Here is a 24,597-nt window from a genome sequence, read left to right as displayed (position 1 = left end):
TCACTCACAATTTCTTGTCTATTCTTAGGGATTGACATCATAAATTTTCTTTTTGTTTCGTATTATAAGATGCATAAAAAATGGTGAAAGTAAAGATGTAATTTCAACTCTATTTTAATACAATTCTTTTTAGATGCCATTTTCCATACTTTCACTCCATGAATAATATTGCTCTCTATTATTTATCAGCATAACAGGTCATAATCAGAAATTACTACTGCTATATAAGAAATAAATGCAAATTCAGAGATAATTTTGATTTCTGAATTTAAATCCTATTATTCTGAAACTTAAAGGTACGTTATGATTTTTTAAAAATCGGCCTAAGAACTGAACAATAAGGAAAGTGTGTTAAATTTGAATTTTACTTAATTGAGCTTTTGTAGGAATCATGTTAGAATGTGTTAAGATGATTTAAGATCAGAAAAAGTATCAGAAAAAGTGGGAGGGAGGTAGATTTGTAAACATCTTATTGTTTTAGTATGTACTACTACAAACCATTCTCAAACAACCTTATCAGTCCCAATTTATATAGGAGAAGAAGTGAAACTTGGAGAAGAAAATGATGGCAAAGGTCATACACTCGTATACAGAAATTATACAGAAACAACATTTGAATCTAAGCTACTTGAACTCTACACTCCAGTTATCAACTACAATCTATCTCCTATTATAAGTTTGACACCATCTTATGTTGATATGTTCAGTCTGTACTAAAAGTAACTTCAGGCAAGTAGAATGTAAATGCACGACCAGCTGCAAGTGTACCACGGAGTCGTGAGTGGCAAGGATGTGAAGAAAGGGGAATCCTTACATACTCTTGGTGGAAATGTAAATTGGCACAGCCATTATAAAAGCATTATGGAGGACCCCCCAAAATAAAAATAGAACTTCCATGTGATCCAGCATTCCCATTTCTGCACGTACATTCAAAAGAGAAAATGAAATCTGAATCTTGATATCAGCATTCCCATGTTCACTGCAGCATTATTTAGAATAGCCAAGATATGGAATCAACATGTATGTTCACTGAAAGATGAATGCATAAAGAAATGTGATGTATAAATATATACATGAGATTAGCCAGGTACAGGAAGACAAATATTGCATGATCTCATTTTATGTGGAATCTAAGAAAGTTGAACTTATAGAAGCAGAGAGTACAATGGAAGTTATCAAAGGGTAGGATTGGGGGGCATGTGGAGCTATTGGTCAAAGGGTACAGTTTCAGTTATGTAAGATGAGTAAGTTATGAAAATCTAATATCAACATGGTGACTGTAGTTAATATTACTGTACTATATACTTGAAATTTGCTAAGAGGGTGGATATTAAATATTCTCATTGCAAATTATGTGAGGTGACAGATATTTTAATTGCTTGATTGTGGTAATAATTTTACAAAGTATGTGTATGTCAAAACATATAAAACACCCTAAATATATATACAATCCTTATTTGCCAATTATACCTCAATAAAACTAGAAAACAAAAAAATAAAAAAAATAAAGTGATAAAAGTGTGAAATGGTGAAACCAACCAGTTAGTGGATATTATTCAGATAAACAGCAAAAGCCTTTTTCCATGGAATGGATCATCTTTAATCTAATTTATTTGGAGTGAGTACGGGAACTACTGGCATTTTATAAATATATTAGTTACAAAGTTGTCTTAGTCTATTTGTGCAGCTATAGCAAAATACCACAAATTGGGTAGTGTATAAGTTATAGAAATTTATTTCTCAAGATTCTGAAGGCTGAGAAGTAAGATCAAGGTGCCAGTAGGCTCAGTGTCTAATAAGGTCTGGTCTGCTTCCAAGATGGCATCTTGAATTCTACATCCTTTGGAAGGGACAAATGGTATGGCCTTGCATAGGAAAAGGGCAGATGAGCAAAACAAAAAGCGGTCAAACTAGTTCTCTTTAGCCCCTTCAGAAGGCACTCATCCTATATGAATCTACCCTCATGGGTTAATCACCTCCTAAAGGTCACATCTCTTAATATCATTACATTTTTGTTAAGTTTCAACACGAATTTTGGAGGCGACACAAACATGAGACCATAGCACATGCATTTAGCCTACTATATAGCAGTCCCTATAGGAGGTAATATTCATACAGAGTTGCTAATCCTCATATTTCTGCCAACAAGATAGGTACCTTAGCTCCACCACTCCCGGTTGTGTCACCCTGAACTCTGATTTAACTTCTCTGCCCTTCAATTTCCTCATCTGTTTTGATGGTTAATATTATGTGTCAACTTGACTGGGTTAAAGGATGCAAAGTATTGTTCCTGGGTGTGTCTCTGAGGGTGTTGCCAAAGGAGAATAACATTTGAGTCAGTGGACTGGGAGAGTCAGACCCACCCTTAATCTGAGTGGGCACCATCTAATCAGCTGCCAGCCAAGCTAGAATAAAGCAGGTAGGAGAAGATGGAAGAGCATCCAGCCTCATCTTTCTCCCTTGCTGGATGCTTCCTGTCCTGGAACATCAGACTCCAGGTTCTTCAGCTTTGGACTCTTGGACTTACACCAGTGGTTTGCCAGGGATTCCCGGGCCTTTAGCTGAAGGCTGCACTGTTGGCTTCCATACTTTTGAGGTTTTGGGACTCGGACTGATCCACCACTGGCTTCCTTGCTCTGCAACTTGCAGACGGCCTATCATGGGACTTTACCTTGTGATCCTGTGAGTCAATTCTCCTTAATAAACCCCTTTTCATATACACATCTATCCTATTAGTTCTGCCCCTCTGAAGAATCCTAATACATCTGCGAAATGAAGTAATAGAAATTTCTCCTTTTTATTAAATGGTTTATAAGCAAAATACTTTAAAAAATGTCTGGCAAAGAGTAAGAATTAAATAACAGCACTTATTTCTGTTTTCATAACTAAAGAAACTGAAATTAATTACCTTGCCCATGATTACTTACTGTGTAACAATCTTAAGATTCAAACACAATTTTTATGACATAATATCTTTTATTTCACACATTGCCTTTCCTACAATGACTTTACATTATTACAGTGAATTTATAAGGAAACACAAACCTAATACACATTTTCGCTATATATAAATCAAGGAGAATTATAAACCTTTCACTATACATTTTTTTCAAGTCATTCTGAGATCTTTATGTGAGGCTATACAGCAAAGCCCGCTGTTTTGCAAAATGTTACATAGCAAAAAGAAAGAAGAAAGAAAAGAAAGAAAGAGAGAGGAAGGAAAGGGGAAGAGAAGCGGGGAGGGGAGGGGAGGTAAGGGAGAGAAAAGAAAAGAAAAGAGAAGAGAAGGAAACTAACTTTGTTCAGGGCCTAGAACAAAGATAAAGAATTGACAGCATTTGGGGTATTCACAAGGGACACGATTGAACAACTGAAAACAAAGTCTAAAAATTCTCCCCTACAAGTCTAATAACTCATTAATTAAAGTGTCCAGTTTGACATGAATCAGTTGAGAAGTTAAAGAGCATAGAATAAACAAGACAAGACAGCCAATGCCATTTAGGAACCTTAACAAAACCTTAAAAAGGAAGATAGCGTTAGGAAAACACTAAAGTTACATTTCCATTGTATGAAATGCATGTATACAACTAAGTATATCTAGAATCTATATAGCTTGCCTTTACTAATAACTGTAGCATCAATTGGCAATTTACTATAGTTCACTCATTTAAATTCATTCTCTAATGTGCACATAGTTATAATATTGTATTAGCAAATTGTTTTTGAAATTGACTCAATTGTCAGACTCTCCTAGGGTGCATCTTTGTAAAAAATACAGATTTCTAGTCTCCTCCTCTGGAGTTTAGATTCGGTAGGTCTAGAGGGACTGAAGAATTTGCATTTTAACAAGAATGTTAGGTGATTCTTCAGATCTCACAAACTGGGAGACCTAGATCATATAGATGTAAGAAAATGAGCTGCAGTAAATGAAATAAATTGCTCCAGATATCAGGTAGTGATGGAGTGTGTGTTTAAAGCCAGCTCTTGTGCATACATTTAGAAAGTAGCCACCACCACCCTCCCAAATTGCTGTTAGTTAGTGTTCCAAAGCCAAATATAAAATATATTAGGTTGGTGCAAAAGTTATGGAGGATTTTGCCACTGAAAGTAATAGCATTTGACATTTTACTTGTGCACCAACAAAATACACAACTTTAGGAGTTATTTTTAGGAAATGCCTTTGGTCAGCCTAGTAACTGTCTAAGAGTACGATGATAAGAAATGTACCACAACCAATACAATGCATTTGCAAAATACTTCCAGTAACGTAACTTTCAGGCAATCCAGTTTTACCCTCAAGGAACCTCTCTCCTCAGCAGGCCAACCGCATCTTGGTTATAGTGAGGAGGTGAATATGGGAGATTCATGCTTTGGTGAACCTGTATCCTGCAGCTGCTGCAGGCTTCCTACATAGCTGTTGCACTGAAACCAGTCGGAATTTAAAGTAATTGCTACTTGCAGTGCAGTTTAAGAGGAAAGAATAACCAAACGGACAGCCAGGATGGTTGTACTAATACGCTACAGGTTAAGAATATTATTTCACGCTTCTGTAACTTTTGATGAACTGCAGAGTCAGGAGGAAACATGGAGGTCATTCTGCCAGATGTTTTCATTTCAGATATACGGTGAATGAAGTCACAGAAGGGACAGGGAACTACCCATGATCAAGTTCAGAAATAATAAAAATCTGCCCTGAACTCTGATATTATTTTTGTGGAAAAGGTGTAGAGCAAGGAAACTAGCTATAGACAGCTGTGGTGAAAATTAGACAGGAGTGAAATGCTTTTCAGCTGTTTAAGTGTTTCATTCTCCAAAGAACCTGCAACAATTAGGCTTCTTTGTGGCATGCACAATGTTTACAAATGTGGACTTTGGGCCAGGCGCGGTGGTTCACGCCTGTAATTCCCAGCACTTTGGGAAGCCCAGGCAGGCGGATCGCCTGGGTCAGGAGTTTGAGACCAGCCTGGCCAACATGGTGAAATCCCATCTCTACTAAAAATACAAAAATTATGCGGGCATGGTGGCGGGGGCCTGTAATCCCAGCTACTCAGGAGGCTGAGGCAGGAGAATAGCTTGAACTCGGGAGGCAGAGGTTTCAGTGAGCCGAGATCGTGCCACTGCACTCCAGCCTGGGCAACAAGAGCCAGACTCCATCAAAAAAAGAAAAAAAAAAAAAGTGGACTTTGGAGTCAGGGAGGGCTGCGTTCAAACCCTAGATCTTTCACTCATTAAGCGTTAACTTGCAATGCATGTAAGTTATCTTAACCTCAAATCCCTTACCTTGAAAATAAGAACAATAATATAATTATTAAAGCCTTAGGGAGTATAAAATAATGCAGTTAGTGCATCTTTGAACTTTGGGAACAATGGTGTGTCCGGAATTTATTCCTTCCAGTGGGTTCTTGGTCTCGCTGACTTCAAGAATGAAGCCGCGGACCCTCGCGGTGAGTGTTACAGCTCTTAAAGATGGTGTGTCGGGAGTTTGTTCCTTCAGATGTTCAGATGTGTCCAGAGTTTCTTCCTTCCGGTGGGTTCGTGGTCTCACTGACTTCAGGAGTGAAGCCCCAGACCCTCACAGCAAGTGTTACAGCTCTTAAAGGTGGCACGTCTGGAGTTGTTTCTCCCAGTGGGGGGGTTCATGGTCTCGTTGACTTCAGGAATGAAGCTGGAGACCCTCGCGGTGAGTGCTACAGTTCATAAAGGTAGTGCGGACCCAAAGACTGAGCAGCAGCAAGATTTATTATAAAAAGCGAAAGAACAAAGCTTCCACACCATGGAAGGGGACCCCAGTGGGTTGCTGCTGCTGGCTGGGGTGGCCAGCTTTTGTTCCCTTATTTGGCCCCTCCCACATTCTGCTGATTGGTCCATTTTACAGAGTGCTGATTGGTCCATTTTACAGAGCACTGATAGGTGCATTTTTACAGAGTGCTGATTGCTGCGTTTATAATCCTTTAGCTAGACACAGAGCACTGATTAGTGCATTTTTACAGAATGCCGATTGGTGCGTTTACAAACCTTTAGCTAGACACAGAGTGCTAATTGGTGCATTTTTACAGAGTGCTGACTGGTGCATTTACAATCCTCTAGCTAGACAGAAAAGTTCTCCAAGTTCCCACTCAACCCAGGAAGTCCAGCTGGCTTCACCTCTCAATGGGTAATAGTGTCCACACAATATTAGCTTCTACTGTTGTTTTTGCTGTTTTTTTTTTTTTTAATTATCATTCACAACAATCCTGAGAGGTAGATGTTACTGTCCTGAAACTTTGCTCAGAAAAGGTAAATGTTCAAAGGCACAGAGGTGGTGACAGGGGTCAATCTCAGGGAACTCTGAGTCAGTGCTCTTTTCAACAAGGTACGACTACATTACATTAAGCCATAATTTTTTTTTTCTTTTGAGACTGAGTTTTGCTCTATCACTCAGGCTGAAGTGCAGTGGTGCAATCTCGGCTCACTGCAACATCTGCCTCCCTGGTTCAAGTGATTCTCCTGCCTCAGCCTCCTGAGTAGCTGGGATTACAGGTGCCCGTCACCACACCCAGATAATTTTTGTATTTTTAGTAGAGACAGGGTTTTACCATGTTGGCCAGGCTGGTCTCAAACTACTGTCCTCAAGTGATCCACCACCTCCGCCTCCCAAAGTGAGCCATAATTTTTACGCTAACATTTAATAAACATCTGCAGACTTATAAGACATTAAAATAATGAAGAGAAGGTTGAATTTTTCTTGGATTTTTTAAGGGTTTGAGTTTAAATTATCTTTTGATAAATTGGTTTATATAATCATCAACTCCAAATATATTACTTTCAGAAACATCCATGTGCAGAATATAATGTAAATCCCAGATTCAAATGAAAACTTCAGCTCTCTAGAATCATCAAGGAATGTGCTATTTTAGATAATTAAAATTCTAGATAGCTTTGAAACACTCACATTTTAAAATTATAGTTACTTCAGATAGAATTCATTTTAAACTCCATCACTTCTCTCCCTTACTAAGTAGAGGATATATATTTATCACATAACATATACTACTATTCTTGCTAATTCAAAGCCATCATTTTAAACAGCAATGTTCTTACTTTGAATTAACACAGTAATTCCTCTGAGCCATCTGAGGTATATATGCAAGATTTTTTAAGTTACAGTCCCAGACACTTGTGTTTTTTTTCGGGTTGAAATATCTCTATATTCTTTTTATAGTTTGGCTCACTCTTACTGGGGGATTGTTAATGGAGAACTAGAGTTCCAAATATCTAGGAAACCTTCTGTGTAAGGAAAGAAAGAGAAGGGTGAAAATTAAAGGACAGAGTAGAAGACCAGATGGGCTCTAAATTAGATTAGACTCCCAATTCTTTCTAATATTCAGGTTGATATTCAGTACCAGCCTAAGAAAAGTATAACTCCTTACCTTAAAATATCTCCCCCAGTGATTTTTCCTATACAACTTAGAATTATTTTAATGAGAGACAATGCCTTCTGAGCTTTAGTCATAAATAAAAGAATAGACTGTGAAAATACCAGGAAGAGTTAGCACAATGAGTTAATGAAATTTTGTCACTGTATAAATGGCTCCAGTTTTTTTTTCTTATTTCTCTAAGATAAGGGTATAGGGAGGTTCTAGATTGTAAGGATGTCAGTTAGGGGAAAAGGAGATGAAAACAGTGGATATCAGAGATTCTGAAACTAGATATTTTTCCCAGGATTGTCCTTCTAGGTAATTTGAATTCAGAACTTGACACAAAGCAGGATAGTTGTGCCAAGTGGCTTTACGGGTGTGCACTTGCAATAGCAACAAATTTATTTAAAGAAAAAGAGAAAGAAAATACTTTAGACTGTAAGTCTCCATATAAGTGTAAAACATTCTTATTATTAAATGAGTTATGTGAGTAGTAAATGCTTATTTCTATGGAATTACTAAAAACACTCTCTGTTTTAACCAAATGTCCTTTAGGATAATGATGAATCACTTAACAGCCTTAGCTGATCCCATTAAGCCAAAGTCTTTTGGGACAGGCTGTGTTTGATTTGATCTATGGTTCTATGAAAAGTCTTGGTAGCTGTATTGGTAAAGAGCAGCCACCAGAAGCCAAAACTATCATTGTCTTTCTCTTGCCCACCCTTGTATGACACATGAGCTCATCATAAATCAAGCAAAACATGGAAAGCCAGGCTAGGAAGAAAGTTGGACTTTCCCCAGAAATCACTGCTGATGTGTCAGCTAATGTGTTTTTACAAGATGTGCTAAGACAAAAGCAAACATATGCTCCCAGTTGTCTATAACCATAATACACTCCAATTTACCCTTGGGACATCAAAAATAAGCAGACTGCCTCCCCCTCCCCACCACTGCACAGATGTCTCACTTTTTACTTCCTATTAAGCCTCCTAATAAGATAATCTAAAATTTACAGTGGAGTAAAATTCAAAACTATTTGTGTATATCTTCTTCATAAACACAACTGGCACTGCCAAAAAACAAAACGTCAACATTTTCCTACAGAAGTGCAGAGTTGTCTGCAATTCTCGTAAAGGTGTTTAGCAAATCTCTCAAACTTCCTATAGTAGCAAGTCCTTTAAGGAGGAGGGTTTTGCAGCAACAGATTCAGCAACAAAAGAGGACTGAATAATGCTATTATTAAGCACAGTCCCTGGCATACACGCAGCAAAAGCATGGTACTTAAGAGTGGACAGTAAATAAATACCATTTCTTGCAAAAACATTTTAGATTATAAAGTTAATTACAAACCTAAAAATTTCTATGGGAATTTTTTGGAAGTTTTCCTGAGGGATGGACATATGAATTGAGGAGAGTTTGTGATAGTTAACTCCAGACTATTTTAAAAAACCATCCATAGATGGTCTGGAGTCCACTGTTTTCCTTAAGATGAATCCCAAAGTAATAAAGCTGCGTGATGCAAAAGAAAAAAAAAGGCAAGAAATTATAAGGGAACTGCTAAGAGTCCAATATACTACTAAAGAGCCAACCAAAGGTGAATGAGCCTAGATGAATTTTAGTAAGGAAAATCACTAAATTTTTTGAGCCCCAACTGTGTGTCAGACAAACTGCTAAACACCTTATAACTCTGCAAGATAGACATAATTATCTTCATTTCACATAAGCAGTTACTGTGGCTTAGTGATATTAAATGACATAACCTGTAAGTAGAATATATTGGATTAATATCCAGGGCTCAAAATAAAGACCAGAGATTAAATTAATAAATTAGGGCTTACATACAGTATTTCATTTCCCAGATAACCAGTCTGGCATCTATACTTATCTATACTATACTTATACTTACCTATCAAAACCAATTTTGATCGGGGATTGGTTAATACATAGTTCTCATATATAAAGGAGAATCCCTATGCCTTGTGTAGAGTTTAAATATTGAGTGTGTCTGTTTTTCAATTAAGGGTGGAAACTTTAAAAATAATATAACAAGGGTGATTTCTAGTTATATCAGGCTATTTCTAGATATTTTCAAGTTGAAATCAAAATTTTTAAAAGAGACATTGAGCTCACTTGAATAAAACAAAAGTAAATTCCATCAACTGGATTTTTCAGCTAAATTAATTCGTAAAAGTAAACTAAAAGCAAGGCTCTCCTCTTTATCTGGTCACAGAAGAAATCATCTCTGCCTTCATATGCAAACCGTCCCTCCCATTAAACAGAGGAAGAGAGACAGAAAAGGCCAAAGGGATTAGGAATGTATTCTGTTCATGTTATGTATGAAGCAAAGTCCAAAGAAATTAACCACTTTGTTGAAGATTTCTCAGCTAGTAACAAACGCAAGCTTAGAACCTAGGAGTACAGAGTTCCACTACAGAATTTTCTCCATTTTAATGTGCAATTTTCAGGTTAATTTTATGGTGAAAAGCACATCTGAATGTTTTGTTGTTGTTGTTGCATACCTCCTAGGACAGATCACATCTAGAGAATTATTTTGCTTCTTCCTATTTGAAGAATAAAAATAGCTAATCCTCAATTTGGTCTGTTTTTTTCCTAATGCCCATGCAGGATTAAGAAGCCATTAACCAGAACCACTTAGCTAAAATGAATCTTGCTTCCTTCCTACCGGAGTACTCCTCCTCTAGATTTGTATCCTTTTGCTGAAGTTGCCTTTTGTGCCAAAGAGTAAAGGAAGACTTGAAATTAAATGGCTCATAATGCATCATAAAGGAAACAATGTGAAATGCCAGCAATTGCACAATTTCTTATCACTCTCTTTGAGCAATGACGGTCGGACCTACAGTTGTCAATTATTTCCTTCTTAAAAACACAACATGTATCCATACATAATACATTGTTGTGGGGGCCATTTGAAGCTTCCAGATCCCAGAAATGAGTCACCCATAGCCAATGCATCAGTGGAGGTATTTATTCTGTGAGGCTGTTGCAAAGTTCCTATCATCTTTGTCTTCATTCTGAAAGTTTATGTATGTTTAAAACCATGATTAAAGAGAACACAACTTCTTGAAGCAGTTTAACTTTATTTGAAATGTTTAGAGTTGAAGTAGAAGTGCATACTAGGTGAAATTTTTGTCTACCCCTACAGTCTCACACATCACTCCCAATTTCAACATATATTTGAAACATCCTAGAGAACTTGGGCTTGAACTGAGTACAGAATTATGGAACTGGAAACTCAGTCAGTCCCATATTCTGTCTTACGCAGGAATCCCTTCGAAATTGTTTCTTGTGTGTTAATCTAGTTTTTGTTAAAAACAAACAAAAAAGTCAAGGGCCGGGTACAGTGGCTCACACCTGTAATCCCAGCACTTTGGGAGGCTAAGGCGGGCGGATCACGAGGTCAGGAGATGGAGGCCATCCTGGCTAATACGGTGAAACCCCGTCTCTACTAAAAACACAAAAAAATTAGCTGGGCTTGGTGGCGGGCGCCTGTAGTCCCAGCTACTCAGGAGGCTGAGGCAGGATAATGGCATGAACCTGGGATGCAGAGCTTGCAGTGAGCCGAGATCGCGCCACTGCACTCCAGCCTGGGCAACAGAGCGAGACTCCACCTCAAAAAAAAAAAAAAAGTCAAAGAGCTACATAAAAACAACTGTTGATGAAAGAAATACAAATAATATCTGGAGGGTGGGGATGAGAATATTTAAGTAAATATTTACTTTGAATGAACAAATTCAGCATTCCAGAATTCACACATCTAAGGCACTCTATGGTTAACTGTATCATAATTACCATTATTAATTCAGCAAAGTGGCAATTGTGTTAATTAATGCTTCTGGATAATAAAACTCCAAAAACTGTGAATGTGCCTCAAAATAAAAATGCTCTGTAAAAAGCCTTTTAAACCAAATAAGAAACAAAGATCAAAGAGTGAGGATAACTTGAACATACAGATTCTTGTCACTATGCCCAGCAAGAAACTTGAGGGAGAAACTAAAAGACATAATACGAAGCCCCTAGAAGAGAAACCTAACCTCAAGAACTTGAAACCCAGAATCAAGCATGGGACATGGGCAAACAATAAATTTTCCCAAGGAAGTGACAGAGCCCCTTTAACTGCAACAGGCCAACTCTGGAACTCCCCCAAGAATTCATTTATCTTATGATTGTGTAAATGCGTCTCAAGGAGTAGACACACTTTTGTGAAGATTACTCAACATTTGAACCACAGAAGACGGCAGATATTGTTGAACATTTCTGTCCTCACCCCTCAGAGCTCTACTGAGCTATTCGGACAATCCCTACTAAGCGGGTTTACTGCAGTGCATTGAAACAGTCTTCACAGAGATATACATTAAGTCAAGTCCTGAAATGACGAATTCCGATACTCCCAGGCACTGTGCGGAGGCTCAGAAAATCACTCATCTAGGATGCAGAGTGAAGAGGAATTTAATTTTTTTTTTTTTTTTAACTTCACAGAGTTCCCCACCTCTGTGTCGCATAAGCCTGCAAAGGATGCTCCTACACAACTGCAAGGGCATGCAGGGGGGAAGTGACGCCCGCAGGGAGAGGGGAGCAAGATTCCAACTGACCTTTTTGCTGTTTAAAGGACTGAATGGAGCCTGAATGGTGGACCATTTTCACTCTGCGCGTCCCAGCCGGCTTAGGGAGCTGCCCGAGAGGGAGGCGGAGGAACAGTAGCCAGACTCTAGACGCTCCAAGGTCCGGAGCCTCAGCGAGCGCACTGCAATCCGACACCTGCTGTAGCCGGCACTTCGCTCTCCAGGCTACGCGCCCGCCGGTGTCGTTGTCATGGGAACGCGGGAGGGCGGTCTAGCGTCCGGCTCCCCTTAGCGGCTACTCTGGGAACAACCCCGCATCCCCCGCGCGTCCAGTGCCACAGTGAGGGGTGGGCGTTGAGCGGGGTTGGCTGGGAGTGGGAGCAGAAGACTTTACTGGAGGAGGAGATATAAATCGGAGCAAACCTCTAGAGCTGATACTGATGCCCTCTTTGCCAAGCTTTGAGGCTGGTTATTTATTTCCTAAAAGTTGGTAGGTAAACCCTGGGACTTTTAAGGAAGGGCAAAGTTGGTCTGTGCTCTGAGAGGGTATGCAGTGGCAGATGCAGAGACGTTTCTGTTTTTCTTTCTTAAATTTAAGTAGAGGGGGCAGAAAGCCACCCCAGCTTAGTTAGCCAGTAGCATGTTTTATTAGGTAAGCTGTGTTCTATGTCTAGCACTTTTCACTTGAGTTTTCCTCTTCTTCTTCTGCCATTCAGGCCTTGAATCATTTATGATGATGATGACTGAGGACCATTTATAACCTACTTAGTCACAGGGGCTGAAAAAACACTACCCACGATGCTCGATTTAATCTTCATAAAAGCCCTGTAATGTAGGTAAACTATGATTCTAATATTATAAAAAGAAACTTAAGATCAGAGCAACAAAGATTTCTCAAGACCACATAAATCAACACCTTATTTGAAAGAGAAGGCACCCGATACCCAAAGAAGTGAAGTAACTCTTTTTGTTTAGTTTGAGAAGTTTTATTTTATTATTTATTTATATCTTCACCATGTATTTTAAGTTCGTGGTACATGTGCAGGATGCGCAGGTTTGTTACATAGGTAAACGTATGCCATGGTGGTTTGCTGCACAGATCACCCCATCACCCGGGTATTGAGCCCAGCAGCCATTAGCTATTGTTCCTAATGCTCTCCCTCCCCCTCCAACAGGCCCCAGTGTGTGTTGTTCCCCCATTGTGTCCGTGTGTTCTCATCATTCAGCTCCCACTTTGAAGTAACTTTTGAAAGACCAAACTGCAGTGGCCAAAATAGGACCAGAAGCTAGCTGAACACATTTTTCAGTAGGATCTCCTTTCCTCCATCTATCTCTGCTCCCTGATTCAAAGCCCTAAGTTCTTCCTGGAAGATGTAAGATGTTATTGAACAGACACATCGTGAGAGTCCGTTGCTTCCTCAGTTTTGAAGTTTTATGGAATCAACTCAGAATCAGGTGAATAATCCAAATAAAAGCAGATAAAAAATATGCAGAAATTTCCAAACTTTCGATACCTCAAAAATATTGAGTTATTATTGTATGCTGTTTGATTCATCTGTGGTGCATGATACAAAAGAATGAGGGGAATATAGCTTTGAACAAACAGATGCTCCAATTATTTATGGATGCATAACAAACTACCCTGAAACTAAGCTGTAAACTAAAATTTATTATTATTACTTATGGATTTTGCAGGTGGGCTAGATTCAGACAGGCAGTTATCTCTCAGAGTCTCTCTTGATTGTTCAGTAACTGGTCTTAAAGTCATCTGAAGCAAAAAGCGAAATTGGATTCTACTCTCAGTGGGAGGAAGAGCAAACAATGTGCTACCTTCTTTAATGTATCATAATGGTCTTTCCAGAAAGAAATGCTGAGCATTCAATAAGAGCTCAGTATGCAGGCATTGAAGAAATACTTGGTTACAGACAATGAACTCAGTGTGAGTTCACCTCCAAATGAAGATCTAAAACACAGTTCAGAGACTGTCTCCGTAAGGGCTTTTAATACAGATATTGTATAGATGAGGGCATTGAAACCGAGAAGAATAAATGACTTGCTCGAGGATGTTTTTTTTAAATTTTGTTCATCCAGAGTTAAAATTCTGATAGAACTCAGCTTACAGATCATTCTGATGTGAACCAACTCATTGATTCTAATGCAACCCAATTCTCCTACGTGAGGATTAGACAATGAATTTAAGAATGGCAGAAAACTAACACCCAATACTTACTAGTCAGTTATGACCCCTGTAGATCTCATTTAAATGTTTAAAACCCCCTTTTAAATCACCGGTTTTAGAATCAGAAATATTTTTGAAATTTAAACTTTAATTCAATCCCTGGTCAGCAGGACTAGTTAAAAGAATTAAAGTCCCCTCGCCGGGCGGTGGCGGGCGCCTGTAGTCCCAGCTACTCAGGAGGCTGAGGCAGGAGAATGGCTTGAACCCGGGAGGCGGAGCTTGCGGTGAGCCTAGATCGCACCACCGCACTCCAGCCTGGGAAACAGAGCGAGACTCCGTCTCAAAAAAAAAAAAAAAAAATTTAAGTCCCTCTATTCCACATTTCTAGGCACAGGTATCACCTTTACCTTCCTAAGATCTTTTTCTGTTGATCCCTGATTTTCTCCAACCTACTCCCTGATCCAAAACCCAGCAGGAGGCAAATATGTATCTGCCAGAACTAGAAATGAGTTGAGATTTTGAACCTCATTGGATTTTTTTCCAAGGAAAGAATGTTTGTTATTATTTCTAACACCCTTGCACCCTAACCTCCTTGGTGCAGCTATGATTAAACTATCTTGTCATAAAGTTAATTACTTTTCTTAAAATTAGAAACATTTTAGGTTGGACTGCCAGATTGACTAGCAGGGGATTCAAAGAACATCTTTGCTTGTTTTAAAATCAGTCTTTTAGGGGAGGTTGCTAGAGGAACAGCTTTGTGAGGGGCCGAGGAAATTTGAAGCACCATCTGCTTTATAGAAAGGCAGTGCAAAGAGAAAAAGATTCCTCTCTCTCTCTCTCTCTCTGTGTGTGTGTGTGTGTGTGTGTGTGTGTGTGTAAAGAAAGAAAGTACGTTTTGGAAGTGTAGAAAGAAGAGTTTGAGCAAAAGCCCTCTTTTTTAACTCAAAATAAAAATTCTGTGTTGGGGTAAAAGGAAGCATTTTGATGGACTGACATTTCCATTGTGGACAGTTTAAGAATGGATAGCAAGTAGCCTCATTAAGGAAAGCTAAGCTAACTATGAACTATGTTGGGTTGCTTTTTCCTACTATTTTTAGCTTCAAACATTTTTCTCCAAATTTTAATGACATGCAAAATGTGTATTTTATATAATGTTTAGTGAGGGGGCATGATTAATGTATAATACACAGTACAGTCTTGACTCTGTTTTCCAAAGTAGAAAAAAAAAGCCTAGAAATAAACATGCGAAAATGTCTGGAGTAATCATGCTTGCAAGTTGAGTAAAGGGTAATATTTTTTATACTTTCATATATTTTTATCATTTTCATACTTTATCAATGATATGTGTTGATTTTATCCTTATTACATGCATAGATCTTCAACCCCCCTACCCATATACCTGTCTTGCTACAACTTCAATTTTTCTCTTTTTTCTCTTTGGACCTAGGGTTTCGTTCCCCTTCATGTTTCTGCTGCTCTTGCTCCCCACAACTCACAACCTGTCTCCTGTCCTCCTTAAGTAATTAACTTTGCAGCCCCCCTGCTAACATTTGCTCCCCAGAGAGGTAAGAAACTCTGATGTTTACATCACTGGGAGACTTTTTATTCCTTTGAATTTCGAAATAGGTCCCTCAGCTCAGCCAGTTGTGAGTTTCTCTGTATTGTGCTCTGTCAAAGGGACTGAGAGAGTCCTGTTTCTGCCTCTTTGGGTCATGAATCACTGCCTTAATTAAAATTGGAATTGTGAATGATACTTCTCATTGCCTAAATGGTAACAGAAATGGAAAAGCAGTACTTTCCTGCTTCTAGTTTCTCTCCGTATATTAAAGACAAAAACCAGCTCTGTAAAAAAGTCATATACTATCATAAAAGGAAAAATGGAGTGAAATTTAACAATTTTCTCCCTAAAAGCCTATGGTTTCTGGCCACATGTGACAGTATAACAGCAGAATTAAGTAGATTCATCCTGATGATATCCAGGCTATATGCTCCGAGTAGCATTCAGAAGTAGTACTACTGATGGGTGTGTCTAAGATAAAGTCATGGAGGAAAATCAGCAGCCTCAACCTTCTCTGAGTCCAGCCTTAAGAAGTCTTACAAAACAGAATTTTAAAAAAATTAATTCTCAAGTGCTTGGAGCACATGGCATTTTGAAGAGACAGGAACACAAAATGATTTGTGTAAGAAGACAGCATCAAGAGAAGGGAGATGTGTGGGACAAAGGAGGTGATGATGGGTTAAACAGCAGTTCATATCTTAGAACCCTGCTGAAAATCTGAATAATTATTTCAAGTTGCCTATAGGATTAAATCCATGTTGTTTAATCTGTCATCAGCTACCTTGTCCCATACATCCTGTGGATATGTTTGTTGCCTTGATTGTAGTGATTGCATGACAGGTGTTTGCATATGTTCAAACTCATCGTACATTAAGTATGTGCAGTTCTTTGTATATCAATCATACTTCAATAATGTTATTAAAAATAGACAATTTAATTTATTTAAACAAAAATCATCAAGTCCATGTTCACTGCTTTACCATTCAAGGGGCTCCATATTTTCTTGCAGCACTTTCCAATATTGTTTCAAAGACCCTTTTACAAACTCTTTTAATCCTATATTGCTTTCTTCCTTATTGGTCTGCTTTTGCTGCTGCTGCTGCTGTTTTCTCCACTGGGAATGATTGTCCTAAAACTCCTTCAGGGAGCAATGACATTTCTTGTATGAAGATATATTTTATCCACATCTACATCTACTGAGTACAAAGCCAGTTAGATGTAGATTTAGCCTTCTCCAATTTCCATCGAGCATGAATAACATCACTTAATGGCATTTTCATAATGTTTCTACCATGCATTATACATGTATGCTTTTGAAAGTAGGCGCATACTTTTCTACCAGTCAAGAAGAAATCCTTTAAAATAGACTTCAGGTTGACTCACTTTTCTATTTGTCATGGTGCCGAAAAGATGATTGACACATAAAAGCTGAGCAAATAAATATTTGCTGAATGAATGGCTTTCCATAATCCTCAACTACTCTTTATTATTTGTGAAAGTAATCTAGTAATAAGACATTCAAACAAATTTCAGTGTGCTAATTGCACTTTGAAATTTACGTACAAGTCTGTAGATTTGCATAGCTTCATGACTTTATTTCTTCTAGGCAGATAATTTCATAAAGACTCATCTTGCTGTACTGGTTTGACAACATAAGAATGTAATAATTGTTGATTTATTAGCCAGGCTCTGCCCAACTTTATAAGCTCTTAAACTGATACTCTGGTAATATCAACAACTTTACCTTATTTTGGTGAATTGCCATGCTTTTGATCAAAGCTGATACTCAGCAAGTATCCTGGGTGTGATTGTACTAGTTACTTGTTGCTAATGTCTCTTCTGATAGCTTGGCCTCTGCCTGACTGGTCTAGGCCTGTGTATTTTTGGTTGTTTAGGTGTTTGTAGAAAGATGGAAATGGAGGTAACCTTTGTAGTTATATATTTACTTTCCAGAGATAATATATACTTGACCCCCAGAAGTTAGGGTGACTAATTGAGTGAACAGTGTGGTCTCTATTTGAACATGACCAGGCCGGTTATAAGAGTAACAACACAATGCTAAGCAATCATTCAAACGTTGAGTGTGCATGAATATTTATTTACTGAGAAAAATGATTCTAATACATTATTCGTTGATAAAAGCAGACTGCAAAAAATATTGATCCTTTTGGCAAAAAAGTACGTGCATAGATACATCCATAATGATAAAATTCAAAATATAGCTAAGTCTAGATGGAGGAGATGGGGCGAAAAGGTTTATTTTTTCATTTTGCTTACTGATACCTTAATTTTATTGTCCATTCATTCATAGAGTGGCTTTATGTTCTGGGTTGCCTTTTATCTCAGTGTAATTATTAATAGCCTCAAACTTTTAAAAAGTGTGCTGGTTTGGACAGTAAGTTATGTGGTCATTCTAACCATCAAATATGCATTATTTATGTTATAAAAATAAATGTAAAAAGGGAAAAATGATAACTATGTTTAAATTACTTGATAGGAAATGGTTTTATATGCCATTTTAATCCAATAATAACACAGATTTGAAACTGAAAAAAATCAGCACTTGGTCATGGAGGGCCTCTTCTTGACTTAGCAGAGATATGTGGAAAGAGTGCATTGCTTTGGGATTCTAGATCATAGACTCTGTGTCCTAGCATGCTGTCTAACTGTGGGAAAATAAGTTTGCCTCCTTGGATCTAGGTCTCTAACCTGTAATAAGACTGATGACTTAGATGTTCTCTAACGGTCGTTCCATCTCCTCATATTCTAAGCTTTGCTGGAAGAGAATTTCACGCACTCTGGCTTCAGAAATATAATCTTTATGGCTGGTTTGACCAGGGGTTATTCCTTTTTCCCCTCTAAAGGAAAATAGTGAAAATAGTAAAGGAAATCCTCACTGATCCAAATATACAGTTAGAAGCTTTGTAGCAATCTGAACTTGAATGGGATTTGAAATCAAACATTGTGATATAATGAAGGGACAAATAGCTTGACAAAACAAGTCTTAGGATGAAAAGATTTTTGAAGTATTTAATTTACTTATGAAAATAAATATTGATGACTTGAAACCATTTATGTATCAATAATTAATCTTCCAACTACAGTCTTTAGATTCATTAAAGTAAATCTAAATAAATCCATATTTAATATCACTGAATAGTTAATCATATAATGTTGCCTTGGAAAATATTCAGTAAAACATATTTTATATCAAATAAAATTATTCTTACTTCCTTACTATAATTCCTCTAAGTAACAGGAGAAAGCTGTGTATTTTCTTTTCAGTATAGTTAACAAATATACACTGGAATCTATGTGCAAAATTCAGCTAGGATATATATTTTTAGTTATTGCAAGCTTTATGCCAAAAAAATACCCTGCGCATCTTTGTAATTACGTTAGGAAAAGATAGCAACTGGTGACATAAGCCCTAAGTGTTTGAAGCGTCAAGTCTTCCATATTCGTGGTTTTATTGTAAAACAATGGTGGAACATTTGGAAAAAAATTTATAGCATTACATTTTGCACAATAAAAACAAGGGTTTGTATATGGTCCCTTTCAGGAAAGTTTGCATGTTAACTCTAGTGACTGCATTTTCCAGTTCCCAAATCAGATTTTGTTACCAGGAAATTGAATCCTTGAGCTCATCCTTTTCCTTTCCCATGGGTTCAGTGCAATCAGGAGCAACCAATCAATTTAATTATACCTATTCATTTCACTAAAATATTTTTTAAGGTATTTAATACGTGATCACCCAGAAACTTGCCTCATATAAATATTTGATTAGGAGTACCTAACGGTAATATTAGTATTTTGTGTATTTTCGTTGTTACATGTTTCCAGACTGCCTTTGGACTCAAGATTGAAACATCAGCTCTTCCTTGGGTTCCCAGCCTACTGGCTGGCACTGCAAAATTTTGGCTTACCAGCCCCCACGTGAGCCAATCCCTTAAAATAAAGTGTTCACTATATATACATCTGATTGGTTCAGTTTCTCTAGAAAACATTGGCTAATACAGATTTTGGTTGTTGCCTTTGTTGATGAGTGTTTATTTAATAACTAATTTTGGCTTGGGCTCATTTTTAAAAGTGTATATTCTTTGTGTTGTCCAGTCATTGGCGTGTCTTTCAATTTCTTAGTAGTCAGCTAATTTGATAGACATTTCCTTAAATGTTGTGATACAATTAAATCTTCCACTTCTTGCTGAGGGTCTCAGTGTGTATTTTGGGGTACATCTGGCAGGCAATGTACAACTTTGCCTACACCTTCACTTCCGGCTTGCACAGTCTCAAGGTCAGCTGAAGTGAGAGATAGGGTCTTTTCTGGGCATATGCCCAGCTCCACAAACATGTGGTTATTTAGATATCCAAAAATATGTCAAAACTTTTCAAAGTTACCTATGAACAGCTCATTGCCAGATTTTTCTTTTACATTTTTCAGTTAGCCTCTTATTTACCTCAATTGCTATTGCCACCTCAGTCAGCTGTGATGTTAAATATTGCCTCCAATTGTTTTTGAGAAATACTCTTAAGGTAGGGCTTTTCTTATCTACCAAGCTCTGAGTCAGATCAGATAAACATAAACCTTGTGAATGTGGCTTTAACAGATAGGTCAAATAATGACATTTCTCTGGAGATGGAGCATGTGCTGCTAGGCAGCTGGTTTTCACAGCTACTGTGTTTCTAAGTCTACTGGTTTTCAAGAGTATCACAGAGCTGGTAAGATGGAGATGGGAATATGGGAAATTAAAATGTCACAAAGGGTATTATTATCACAATTCAGCTTTTTTTTCTAAATAAACACATTGAATTGTTGAAAGCTTTGGATTGATTTCCAGAATTCTAAGAATTAATTTGTCAATTTTTGCCAGTATTTTCTTTGCTTTAATGGAAGAGAAATCGTTTTAGGTCCTTACTCCATAATTCTGGAAGTTATTTTCTTCTATTCTTGATTCTCTTGTGTTCAAGTGTTGGTTCTGCAGGCACATTGAGTCTGTACTTCCTCTGAGGCTAGGAGAGCACAGGAAGCCCACGTGTTTTGAAATGGCTAATATAAATTCTTAAACAAGGACCAACGTCTCTTGAATCACAGACCCATAAGAAAAGATGCTCCTTCCCATTCAAAACCCCAAGCAATTTATCCAGCCATTTAATATTCAACCACAGTAAGCCCACAATCCCAGTAAGTCTGGGGGGAGAATCCATCCAAAGGATTCCAGTGGTCAGAAATAGGGAAATCAGACAGATCAAAATGCATACACAGTAAAACAAAACTGCCAAAGCAGATATTCAGCCTTAAATAGTTTTTAAAAATGTACTCAAGAGAAGCTAAAATAAACAAGACCCTAATAGCACCTAGCACCCCATATTTTAGTTTCTGATACCTTTCTCCAGTAAAAGGACCCAGGGTTCTTTGGATAAATAGATGATTTCAGGTCTAGGGCAGGGGATATACCAGTTGAGCCTTGAGCATCTTGAAGTCCCAGAAAGTAAGAAAGTGGTTAAAAAACACACACACAAAATTGATGAAAGCAGTCAAAGGGGTCACAGAAACCAATGGAAAGAGGTCTCAGTGGTCACAGATGAGAAAATTTTGGCACCAAAATAAATGAAGTAATATTGTATTATAACCTAAAGTGTAAAATATATATCCATGAGTCCATGATGACATAAGTAATTGACTAAATAAATGGGGAAGAAAAGACAAATGTCCCATGCAGAACAATTCCAAATAAATGACGTAACCACTCTACCCTAAAAGAGGAGAAGCATAACTCCCTATTCCTTAGTATGAGCTAAATACAGTGACTTCCCTCTTATGAGTACAGTATGGGAAAGGGGAAGAACACTACCTTTACAGTAGAGAAACCTGATAAACATTACTTCAGCCAGGTGACTAAGGTCAACATCAACAGCCATAAATCTAATTGATCATATGTACCTTTCATATGATGTGGTGAAAATGGCACATTCTTTCTGTGTACCTCCCCAAAACTGATAATTCCTTTCTAACCATAAGAAATACTATTAGAGGAGTATGCTATAATATACCTGACCAATAATCCTTAAAACTGTCAATGTCATCAAAAAGCAGGAAAGTCTGAGAAACTGTCAAGTCAAGAGGAGCCTAAAGAGACATGACAACTGCATGTAATGGACTAACCAATATGAGATCCTGGAACAGAAAAGAGATGAGGTGATAATAAAGAAAATATGAATAAACTATAGGCTTTAGTTGATAATAATGTATGAATACTGGTTCATCAGCTGTAACAAACATACAAATATTAAGATGTTAATAATAAAGGAAATTGTGCAGGGAGAGAGGTATATGGAAATTCTCTGTATTATTCACTCAATGTTTTTATAAGTTTAAAACTGTTCTTAAAAATGAGTATATTAGTAAAAAATCAGGTCTTCAATTATATTCAAGTACAAGTAATAAGAAGATTTTCTGGAGCTAAATACCATGGTTTTGCAGCTAAAAAAATGCGGTACATAAACTGAAGGAAAGATTCATAGTTAGAACCAAATGAGTGATCTAGAGGATCAAAAGTAAGAATCATCACACAGACAAATAACATTATAAGAAGACATGATAGGATGAAATATAAAAAAGCTTGAGGAATGGAACCATGAACACTGTTGTTGGAGTAATGAAAATGCTGTGAAAAGCAAGAAGAATAAACACTGAAAGTATAGCAATAATTAAACAATGATAGAAGAAAATTTCTCACAAATAAAGATAAAGCTTCCTTGAACATAGACTAGGTTAAGAAAAGACACTTATCCTGACATATCTTGTAAAATTCCTGACCACTAAGGAATTTTATAGGACTGCAAGTGAAACTAATAAAATATAATTGAAGGGAAACAGGAAGGAGATTGACATCAGACTTCTTATTTGCCATGCTGGAAGCTAGAATAGCTTCTTCAGATTGCTGATAAAAGATGACTACATCCCAGAATCACATGGCCAGATGAGACATAATTTATTCTTGAGTGTAGGAAGACATTTGAGAATTTGTAATAATTTGAGGAATATATAGCTTATAGAACTTGTTTTATTAAAATAGATTAGAAAAAAATCTAGTCAAAAAACAAATCAGAAGACAGACTCCAAGATTTATGAGTAAAATATACTAATATCAAAATTGTATCTATTTATTTATCTAAGTGCAAGGGAATAATAATACACTTTCCAGGGGAACTTAATATAAGAGCCAAAAAAGATACTGAAAAGAAAAGGAACACTGTTAAATAAATTCTAGTTTGTTGTCAATTCTCTCAGCAAATCCAGGTGGTTGGGAGTAGGGGATGTAAAAATGTTACGGAAGTCTATCAAGGGGATGAGGGATAAGAAAGAAAAAGTAAAAAGTTAAAATACTCAAGATTTCCTTTTATTGGGGAGGGATCAAGTAGGAGGGAAATAGAAGCATGCATCTTGATGACAAAATAGTTTTATTTAAATTATTTGATTATGAGAACAAAGAAAATAAAAGTAATATGTAATAAATGAGAAAACAGTACATTGTCCAAGGAGAAAACAAATGAAATATATTGCATCTTGATTAAACCAGGCCAGGAACAATAAGGAAAAGGAAAACATGTGGTCATCAATGAGAAAGAAGTAAAAAGTGCAAAGCAAGATGGAATGAATCCAGCCAAGCATATCAGCCACTACTCAAAATATAAACAGATGCATTGTTTTCTACTAAAATACAGAGAGCTAAATTAGATTAAATCAAGATATGTACATTGGTAGAAATAAAAATATTTAAGGCAAGATAATAAAGCAGTGGTCAAAGTGATTCCAGGTAAATGCAAACAAAACAGTAATCAGAAATGGTAATATTAATATTAATCAAGGTAAAATTTCACATTAGAAGAACTAAAATGTTAAACAGAAACATTATGTAAAGGTAGGAGTGTAATTTATAAATAAGATATAACATCATATATTTTATGCACTAAACCATACAGCATTTAATATAAAAGTAAACTATTAGACAACCAAGAAATTAATAAATTGCAAATACAATAGGAAACAATATATACATCTAAATTTTTAAATAGAGTATAGTAAAAAGTAAACGAAGATCTAGATTACTTTCTACATTCTGTTCATTTAACAGAAGTTTTTAAGAGCATACAACATCTTTGTAGTTTGTGGACATTTATGAAAATTGGTTGTGTGTTTTGTCATATCTGCTCTGTGTCAACTTTGCTAAACTCTAACTATGTTCTCCAGAATCTCCTTCCCTTTGTGGTTTCAGGTTAAAGCTAATCAAAAGAGAATTTGCGCAAGACTTGGGAAGCTGAAGGGATGCAGCAGACGTTATACTCTGAAGGTCATTTTGTTTAGGAGTAATTAGAGAATAATACTAACAACATGAGAGAGGAAGATAGATTCTAGTTAGAACTTGTTCTTCCCAGCACTGTGTCCAGCTCTTTTTCTCTACAGGAACTCCAGCCCAGCAGGAGGTAGAGAGGCAATAGCTTGTCCATAGGCTGCCCCATCAGCATTGCATCATAATCTCACTCACTCCAGATTCACTGGAAGCTCTGATTTGTCTGCCACACCAGTGTTTCAGAAGGGCTGGTTCGTGACATTTCTCTGATCCTCCTGCTTTCTCTTTTGGATTCTCATTGTCTCACAAATCTTACAACTGGGTAAGTTCTTAGTCCTAAAATAAAGACCTTCTTCTACAATACTTAAAATAGTTATTATTCTGCTGCCTTGATTGTACATTGATAAAAATAAAATAGAAAGAAATATTTTTAAAAAAATAAAGTGTTTTAAAAACATTGTCAAATTCTAATAAAAAATAAATAAATAAGGTGGTAAAATGTTTTTCTCTGGAAGTCATAGAAATATAAGTT

General features: G+C 37.0%; 1 protein-coding gene and 1 long non-coding RNA gene across 4 annotated transcripts in view; one reads left to right on the top strand and one right to left on the bottom strand.

Annotated features, from left to right (window-relative positions):
- ANO3 (anoctamin 3) overlaps positions 1-24,597 on the bottom strand; it is a 474,482-nt gene that overhangs the window by 318,961 nt on the left and 130,924 nt on the right. For 2 of the 3 annotated variants that reach the window (NM_031418.4, XM_047427399.1), the window contains exon 1: positions 12,008-12,199. The exons of the other annotated variant lie outside the window; for it this stretch is intronic. In NM_031418.4, coding sequence (NP_113606.2) covers positions 12,008-12,053 — 46 coding nt within the window. In that variant the 5' untranslated portion in view covers positions 12,054-12,199. Of the gene's footprint in view, positions 1-12,007; positions 12,200-24,597 lie in introns of those variants that run through there. 3 annotated transcript variants of the gene reach the window in all.
- On the top strand, positions 12,355-16,076 carry LOC105376598 (uncharacterized). The gene is made up of 3 exons (XR_931138.3): positions 12,355-12,467; positions 12,694-12,809; positions 15,604-16,076. It is a non-coding gene; the product is annotated as an uncharacterized LOC105376598 (long non-coding RNA).

Source organism: Homo sapiens, chromosome 11, assembly GCF_000001405.40.
Source record: "Homo sapiens chromosome 11, GRCh38.p14 Primary Assembly".
In the NCBI taxonomy this organism is placed as follows: Eukaryota; Metazoa; Chordata; class Mammalia; order Primates; family Hominidae; genus Homo; species Homo sapiens.
Note: the sequence above shows the minus strand (reverse complement) of the source record. Positions and strands in the feature narration are given on the sequence as shown.